This window comes from Homo sapiens, chromosome 2 (genome assembly GCF_000001405.40).
Source record: "Homo sapiens chromosome 2, GRCh38.p14 Primary Assembly".
Lineage (NCBI taxonomy): Eukaryota > Metazoa > Chordata > Mammalia > Primates > Hominidae > Homo > Homo sapiens.
The window spans coordinates 67818114-67827960 of NC_000002.12; the positions used below are offsets into that span (position 1 = coordinate 67818114).

A 9847-nucleotide genomic window follows, 5' to 3' on the forward strand; every position below is an offset into this window, starting at 1 on the left:
TGCAATAAAAAATATTCTCTGTAAACCACAGAGAGAAAAAAAAGAATTTAAAAAATGAACAGAGCAAAAAAAAACTTCAGTGAATTTGGGGAATATCAGCCAGTCTAACATACATTTAATTGAAGTTTTGAAAGGAAAAAAGGACTAGGGATTGAGACAGAAAAAAAAAACATTTGAAGAAATGATGGCCAAAAAACTTTAAATTTGATGAAACCTGTAAATCCACAAATCCAAGAAGCTCAACAAAAACTTCAGGCAAAATAGACATAGAAAATCACACCAAGGCAAATTATCATAAAAGTGCCAAAAATGCCAAAAACAAGAAAATCTTAAAAACAGTCAAATAAGAAATGACACATTTAATACAAATAAACAAAAATAAGAATGTCAGCAGACTTCTCCAAAAATATGCATGACAGAAGACAATGGAGAGACATGTTTAAAATACTAAAAGAAAACACTGTCAATGTAGAGTTTTATACTCAGCATACTTATCTTTCAAAGCTGAAGACAAGATCAAGATGTTTTGGAAAAACAAATGCTTAAATAATTCTTTGTCAGCAAACATGCATTACAAAAATGTTAAAATTCCTCGGGCAGAAGGAAAATATCAGATGGAAATTTAGATCTTCACAAATGAATGAAGAGCAATGGAAATGGCAAGTATAAAAGACTTTCATCTGATTTTTTAATGTCTTTAAAACATAGTTGACTATCTAAAACAGTAAGAAAATGGTATCGTGGAGTTTTAACATATATGGAGATAAGACTGAATGCTTTCTCCCTAAAATCAGGAACAAGGTCAGGATCTCCGCTCACACCACTTCTATTTAACATTGTGCTGATGTTCTACCAGTGCAATAAAGGAAGAAAAAAAATTAAAATCATAGAGAGTTAAAATAATGAAGTAAAACTGTCTCTATTTGCAGATGGCCCAACTGTCCATATGAAAAATCCCAAGGAATATAAAAATAGCTACCAGAACTAAAAAGTGAGGTTAGCAAGATCACAGGATACAAGATGAATATACAAAAATAAATTGCATTTATATATACTAGCAACAAATAATTGGACATTCACTTTTAAAATATAAATATACCATTTACAATCACGTCAAAAAATATGAAGAGTTAGAGATTTGTCTAAATATGTGTAATACCGACATACTAAAAACTACAAAATAAAGTATTGCTAAAAGAAATTAAAGAAGATCTGAATAAATAGACATGCTATGTTCATGAATGAAAGACTCAAAATTATTAATGTACCAACCTTCCCATATTGATGTAAGGGTTTAATACAATCCCAATCAAAATCACAGCAGTCTTTTTGTAGAAACTGGTAAGCTGATTCTAAATTTTATAGGAAAATGAAATGACCCGAAATTGCTAAAATAAATTTGAAAAAGAAAAAGTTAGAAAGTGTTCACTACCTGATTCAAGACTTACTGTAAAGCTATAATAATTAAGTCAGTATAGTATTTATGAGGATAAACATATAGATCAGTGGAACAAAAGAGAGTCCAGAAATAGATCTACTCAAAGATGTCAAGGTTACTCAATGGGGAAAGATAGTTTTTTCCAACAAATAGTGCTGGAACAATTGGATATCCATTTGGAAAAATAACAAGCCTAGACACTAACCTTTCACACAATACATAAAAATTAACTCAAGAAGCATCACAGGTCTAAATATAAGAGCTAAAACTATAAAACTTCAAAAAAAAACCCGTAAGAAAAAATATTTGTGACCCTGGGTTAGGAAAATATTTCAAAAATAGGACACAGAGAATACAAAGAAAAACATGATAAATTAGACTTTGTCAAATTAAAAACTTTTGATCTTTAAAAATGACCATTAATAAGAATACAAGCCACAAAATGGGTGGGAGAAAATATCTGCAAAATTTGTATCTGATGAAAGACTTGAATCCAGAACATGTTAAAAAACACAATTCAATAATAAGACAACTTGATTTTTTAGATGAGTAAAAGATTTGAACAAAGAAAATATGAATGGCAAACAAGCACATAAAAAGATGTCCAACGTCATTAATCATTAGAGAAATACAAATTAAAACCACAATGAAATACCACTATACTCTCTCTGAAACAGCTAGAATTAAAAAGACTGACAATACCTAGGATTGATGAGAATATGGAGCAACTGAAACTCATACATTGCTGGTGGGAATATAAAATTATACAGCCATTTTGGAAACCATTTTGGCATACGCTTATCATATCACACAGCAATTCTAGTCATAGTATTTACCCAAGAAATGGAAACATATTTCTACACAATGTTTTGTGTGCAAATGTTCATAGTCACTTTATTAGTAACAGTCAACAACTGCAAATAACCCAAATGTCTATCAACTATGGTATATGTACTCATTGGGGTACTACTCAGCAATATAAAGGAAACAGTTCATGCTACGTAAAACAACATGCGTGAATCTTAAAAGCAGTTTGCTAAGTGAAAGAAACCCAAGACATAAAACTGCCTAACTGTATGATTCAATTTATAAGAAATATGGGGAAAGGCAAAACTAAAATGATAGAAAGCCCAACAGTGATTGCCAGGGACTGGAAGGAGGCAGAGGTGATTAAAGGGAAAGAAGCATGCAGTAGATTCTGGGGTGATGGGAATATTCTTTATCGTGAGTATAATGAGATAGTGATGATAAATATTTGCCAAAACTTATTGAACTGAACACTTAAAAGGGTGATTATAATTACATGTAAATCACACCTGGGGGAAAAAGCTGATATAAAAAAAAAGTTTAAGGAGATAAACAGGAAAATGAGGCCAATGGTTATAATGTAAATGTCTAATGCAGCAGGAGTAGGTATCTTCTAGAATCTTTCAACCCTTCTTCTAACTGCTGCAGCTGCTGGATTGGATCATTGGATCTGTTACCAATTAAAGAAGCTTAAAAATGCTGAGAAGATGTTCTGTAGCTGAAAGCACCACCTTTCCCTGTCTAAGGCTACTGGGGAACCTTTTGAAATCTTCTACTCTTGCTCATTGGCCAGGTATGGATTTGCTGAGGTGGGGAGGGTGTAAACTTGCAGGTGATACTGTGCTTTGATGTCTTTCATCTTATTAAACTCTCCCAACAATCTGAAGGTAAATAGTTATTCTCACTTTGCAAGTAAAAAATGGAAAAGGCCTAGAGAGAAGAATTTGGGTTTTTAACTTTGAAAGGGATCACATACATATCCAGACACATTCTCATGAATTTTTGGAACAGCAAATCACAGAAAAAAATCCCAAAAGCACCTAGAAGAGAAAAAAAAAATGAGCTACCTCTAAGGAACAAGATTCTGCCATTAAATGCTCAAGGAGTTTGTAAGAAGAGTCTTTTGTGGGTTTCCCAAAGCTGCATCAGGTAGGACTGAGAGGAAATGGATAGCATCCCCTTTAGGACTGGTAAAGGAAACCAGAAACTTCATAAACAATAGCATGGCAAAGAAACCAAGGAATGTCAAGGGAAGGCCCAGAAGCCAGTGTGACTACAGCAGGACTGAGAAATAGGCCTGGAAGGCCAACTTCGTGTCACACTGCAGAAAACTTTATGGTTGAGAAGAAAGAGTAATGATTCTCCCTGCAGCTCTCTGTCCCACGCCTCATCTTTTTATGACCTTTGAATTTCCTACTCTCTCCCCAGAGACCTACTGATCCTCCTAACTAGAGAGTCTAGCATTGGGAAAAGGAAAAGAGTCCCAAGTATATCCACAATCACTAGTCTGGTAGAAAAGAACAAAGAATCCTCAAGAAGATAATGTTGCAAAGGAGAAAAGACAAAGTGTATACAGAGAAAGCACAGGAATTTGTGAAGAATAAATAACAGAGCTAATATCTTCTGGCCTCTGTTTGACTGTCCTGTTCTAATGTCTATGAGGCTTCAGGATTCACTGATGATGGTACACTTCTTCCACTCTCCCCTAAACCCTCCTACCCTAGTTTGGATTAGAAACTCTTTCTTGTTTTGATCTTCATGTACACCCTTAAGAATACCACCATCACTACAAGTATTATTAAGTAAAGGCTAGCTGAACTACCCAAATTTTCTGACATTGTTTCTCCTAGTTTCTTTGCTCCAGAAGTCCCAGACTTTTCCATTCCTGAGATTAATTCTCTTCCTTTAGCTTTGGTGCATCCCTGATCTTGCAAGGTTCAAAGCCTGCCATGTGTTGTAGTCTAAGCTCTTCTCTCCCTCTTTTGCTTCTAGAGGAAAGACAAGGGGAGCTTTGGACCCCAGGAGTTGAGGGAGTGGAGGCGGCCCACACTCTGGCTCAGCTTCCTCTTTATTTCTTCTGTTCTCCTCAAGTGCCTAAAAACAATTTCAGATGCATCTCCCACTGGCATGGGAGATCAATCTCCTGCCAATAACTGCCCCATTAGGTCTAGACAACAGATTCATGCCCAGCTGCACCCTTGGCTAGTGTCTGACATAATTTTACTTTATAATCCTAAAAGAAAATTTGCCCCTTCCCAACCTTAAGTCACATTACAAACTCTCTCTCTACCTTGACATTACAATTAGCTCCATTATCCTCTCCCAATTCCTGGAGTTCCCTGTGTAAACAAAGAGATGGGAAAATGAAATTCTGCCATACATCTAACACTTCACCAACTTCTGGTTTATTTTAATGCATTCCCAGAAAGCCTCTAGAGGGCAAGCACCAAGCCTTGTTTGTTGTTGTACTCTGCATGTCTGGCACAGTACTTGCTACATGGTAGATGGTTAATAAATGAAAAAATGAATGCCTCATAGTTTGCTTAAACTGAAAGAATTATACAAGATTCCTTCATGCACAAACCTGCAGGCAAGTCCATGAAAAGATGGCTGTCTGTCTAACTTTCAGCATTCCATCCACTTCAAACATGGCTCCAGGTACCAAAAATGCCCTCATATTTTGGTGCAATGCAGAATCCATACTAGAGGGATGGGCTTTGGTTTTCATGACAGGATTTAATGTGTGGGTTAGGCTGTCAAAAAAGGAAAGGAAGGCTAGGCGCAGTGGCTCACCCCTGTAATCCCAGCACTTTGGGAGGCCAACGCGGGCAGATGACCTGAGGTCGGGAGTTCGAGAACAGCCTGACCAACATGGAAAAACCCCGTCTCTACTAAAAATACAAAATTAGCTGGGCGTGGTGGCACATGCCTGTAATCCCAGCTACTCGGAGCTGAGGCAGGAAAATCACTTGAACCTGGGAAGCGGAGGTTGCAGTGAGCTGAGACTGCGCCATCGCACTCCAGCGTGGGTAACAAGAGCGAAACTCCATCAAAAAGAAAAAAAAAGAAAGAGAGAAAGAGAGGAAGGAAGGAGGGAAGGAAGGAAATAAGGCAACAATGAGAAACGTTACCTACAAGATGGCAGAAGACCAGAGGGGATGGTAGAGAGCCACAGGGATGAGAAAAAGAACTAATAACCTGCACTCTCCATGTCTCCCACTCTCACAGCTATCTAGACCTTGATCCACTGGAGAAGCAGCTTGGTTTCTGTCCTTCCTGAGTTCACGGGCTCAGTCTCCTCGAGCTCCTACCTTTTCAAGTGTTCCGTTCCCTGGCAGAGAGACCAGCAAAGTTCTACCATGGTTCTATTTCTGTCGCCCCCCTGCCAAATACCTTCCAGCCTACTTCTACACCATATGAATTAAAAGCACATCAGTGAGAAAATTAACTGGAAGGAATAAAATCTCATGGCCATTTGGCAGCCTCATGGTTCAGCAATACCAGTGGTCCCTCACCTTTGGCTTCGGGCGCCGTGCACAAGCCGGCTCCGGTGAGCCACCAGCCATCACCCACAGTGCTCTTCACAGTCATGGCCTTGGTAGAATGATCAGACCACTACAGCTGCAAGGAGGGAAATCCAGGTCACCGAATGCCTTCCCTCTCCTCTCCACTCCTCTAGCCTATTTCCTTCTACTCAAAATCTCCAGCTATCAGTGCAATCTCATCCCGCAAATCTTTTCTCAGGGAAGATGAGAGGAAGGCACCCTCCCCACCCATCTCCACTTTTGAAATGCCTCCAGGAGTGCCAGCTGTACAGACTTTTCCAGAAGGGTGTTGGAGGAGAGCGTGGCGCATTCAGAGCACCAAGGCTCCCTGATTATGCAAGGCATACAAGAGCCCCTCTATTCATCACCTCGAGGTAGACTATTAAATCTCTGGAAGCCTTCCACACAGTTTAGTAACGGAGATCCATTATGCCCTCCCTCAGGTTCCACTGAACACCAGCAAACAAACATATGGTGAGTAAGTTCTAATAGAATTCCACACCACATGCAGGCTCTGCGCAGAGCTCTGTGCTGGAGGGAAGCTGGCCCCAAGCAGCCTTTGATGGCAGCTCCTCCAAGTGGTTTCTGCAACAGGATTTTCCTGCTTTCACCATGTAAGGATATGAGGCGTGGAGAATTTATTTCTGTTTTCTAGTAAAGCATTTGGTGAGGAGTGTGGACATCTTCTTATATCCCCAGCTTGTAGAGGAGCTTATTAGCTGACTTTGGGTAGGTCACTTGGCCCCCCAAACCTTTGGTGCCTGTCTGTGTAAAATAGCCACAAATGATACCTGTTGTCTATTTCACAGGTGTTGTAATAATGAAACAGCTCAATGGACATAGGATGTTTTGGAACGCATTTCAGATTTGTATCATTATCACAACCCGCCCCCGGATTTCCCGCCTCCGGCCCATGTCTATAGGCTTCATTCCATACAAGAGCCAACTGCATTATCCTTAGGAGAGTTAAAAATAAAACAACAAATCTAGAGTATTGATGATATTGATAACAAGAAAATGTATTTTCTACAATTCAGTAGCTTTACAGTTCCTTTTTGAAAACTATACCTTTAAAAATAAAAACCTGTCTTCTCTCTTTGTCCTCCCCCTCTCCGACCTCCCCCCTCGTCCCCCTTCCCCGCCAAAAAGTGATTATGGAGTGAGAGCCATACTGATTATTTTGACTGATCAACTGGAGAAATTTAGATAAATTTGGCTTTTCATTAACTGCAGCTGTTGTTTCTTTCAGTGCTTAAATGCAATTTATCATTTGAATGTGCCGGCTGAGGAACGTTGCTTGAGTTTTCCTTTGCTTTCAATCATTAGTCCTAACAGTATGAATCCAATTTCTATAGTTAGCCCTTAAAAAGGGTCCCATTTTCTGTCCTTTATGGTTGTTCTTATTGAAATATTAAGTTTTAGGATCAGTTCTCTATCACACACACCACTATCAACATACTACTATTCAAACCCAAATCCAGCTTCCATGCCCTGAAATCACAGGTGCAAAAGCCTAAAACCTCTCAAGGCTCTCTGTCTCCCCACCTCAGCCCCAGCCCATCACCATCCCCACCCACCCACTTACTTAGAACAATGTTTAATTTGGTCACCAGATTCAAATATGCAGAAGTAAGGCCTCCCAAACTCAACGAGATTTCCAGCTCCAATGCACAAAAAGGAAGTTGTGTAGTTCCACATGACTTGACTGTGAATGAGAGCTGTGAAGTGATAAACGACCTCCAAACAACATTGGCTTATTTAAATTAAACTATTATTCATTTATACAGGATGATGACTCATGATTATCTGGACAGGAAGAGAAAAAAAATGTAGTAGGAGGAGATAGCCTCAGAACTTGTTTCCTGTTAATGTTCTAAGAGTAATATCATGCTAGTCTTTATGTGGTTTCTCATTATTCTTAGAACTTTAGTTACCATCTTAATTATTCTATTGTTTCTCTTGGAAGAGGAGGAGGAGTAGACAGGCTACATTTTCTTTTTTTTTCACACCATGATGGATTAAACGTCAAGAATAATTAAATGCCACAGGTTGCTAGCCAACAATTGAACGCTGACATCTTTTAGGAGAACCCACCCAGGAAAGAAGAAAACAAACATCTTAACATCTCAGTGTCTTTCCTGACTTCATTTACGTAGGCAGGGATCCCAACATCTTAAATAAAAAAAAAAAAGAACAAAGCCTCTCCAAGCTAATAATTATTCTATGCTTGGAATGAGAGTGTTCAGAAGAACCAGACATTTATGTCGAAACGTTTTCCAAAGTAGGAGAAGTGGGGGGTTTGCTCCTGTGCACGCTGGCAAATGAAAACAACAAAGAATGTGGATCATCCCAGAGACTTTAGAAACAACATGGAGCCATTTCAAAAGTTCTGATTCTGAGATTTTGAGGGCAAGGAAACAAAGGAAATGTTATTGGTTAATTTATCAATAATTGATAGACAAGGCTGTACTTCCAGTTCCATTTAAGAGCCAACTACAAATAAAATTGTCAGCACATGGCTGAGTAAGAACTATCTGGGGTGGAAGAAACTGAGAAATATTCACTGAAGCATTAATATTTCATGAAGACCAGAAGACCAAGGTCAGTTTTGTTATGAAGGACCCTGAGGTTCCAGTTCACTTTGAAATGCTGAAGCCAGGCAATTTCAGGACGTTCTATTCATTCTGGCAAGTAAAGACATCTTCCAAACACACAGCAGTGACTTTATTCGAGCACAAAAGTTGGCCCCTCTGGGAGTAGCAAAATCGAGACAAACGATACTCTAGATAATGTGTTCTTCTCTACAAGCACCCAAGTTTTTGTGAAGAACAGCTTAACTTTCGTGTGTTTACCACAAGACTCTCAACTCTCCACATGGCTTGAGTGACAACTGATATCTCTACAATATTATGGCCACACACATCCCATCTCTTGTTTGATTTTTTTGGATCTCCTCTTTCCCCAAAGCCCACTCTTCCTTAATATGAAGAGGTTGGTCTTGAATCTGCATTCTCTGGTTCCTATCCCTTTAGTATCTCTCATTTTGGGTGGCCAGTCACTCACTTACAGGGCACAGACAAAGTAACAGACAAACTAAAAGCCCTTCCAAACCAAACAACAAGGGCCAGGCGAGAAACTATCAGCTCTTCCTAGGAAGCTGAGACGCAGTGCCCTGAGTGATGATGGAGCCTGACAGGAACAGAGAGCACAGCCCACTCATCGTAGCTACAAACTATCAAATTCTTAAACACCAACACCAGATCTTCCTTTTCTTTCTCTATCAAGAGTCACTGGTTTAAACACTTGACCAAATGATGTGGCCTGACTACACTAAAATCTCAGAATTTAACACTATATAATTCATCCATGTAACTAAAAACCACTCTTACCCTAAAAGCTATTGAAATTTTAAAAATAACAAATAAATTTAAATGTAAAAAAAATTAAAATTAAAAAAGACGTGCCCTGAAAGCCTAGAGCTCTACAACACCCCTGAAATATAACACTTCTCCAAGACCCCAGGGATGTCAAAAAAGGAGAGCTAGAACGTAACTGTATTAGTCCGTTTTCACACTGCTGATAAAGACATACCTGAGACTGGGCAATTTACAAAAGAAAGAGATTTATTTAATGGACTTACAGTTCACTTGCCTGGGGAGGCCTCACAATCATGGCGGAAGGCAAGGAAGAGCAAGTCACGTCTTAGATGGAGGGCAGCAGGCAAAGAGAGAAAGAGAGCTTCTGCATGGAAACTCCTGTTTTTAAAAACATCAGATCTCATGAGACTTATCCACTATCATGAGAACAGCACAGGAAAGACCCACCCCTATGATTCAATTACCTCACACCAGGTTCCTCCCATGACACATGGGAATTGTAGGAGTTACAATTCAAGATGAGATTTGGGTGGCAACACAACCAAACCATATCAGTCGCTCTTGTTAAAGACCCTGAAGACTGTTCTGAATGGCTTGGGTGCAGGGCCGGTGCCCCCATTCTCCTTAAAGTGTCAGAATTCTTTCCCTTTACTCCCCATGTGAGAACCTATTATCCCACA

At 39.2% G+C, this 9847-nt stretch overlaps 1 long non-coding RNA gene across 1 annotated transcript in view; it reads right to left on the reverse strand.

Annotated features, from left to right (window-relative positions):
- LINC01812 (long intergenic non-protein coding RNA 1812) overlaps window positions 1–7449 on the reverse strand; it is a 29509-nt gene extending 22060 nt beyond the window's left edge. Inside the window, exons 1-2 of the long non-coding RNA NR_110271.1 lie at window positions 7376–7449; window positions 5761–5866 (exon numbers count right to left, since the gene is read on the reverse strand). This is a non-coding gene — a long non-coding RNA (long intergenic non-protein coding RNA 1812). The remainder of the gene's footprint in view (window positions 1–5760; window positions 5867–7375) is intronic.
- Window positions 7450–9847: the final 2398 nt, after the last annotated feature.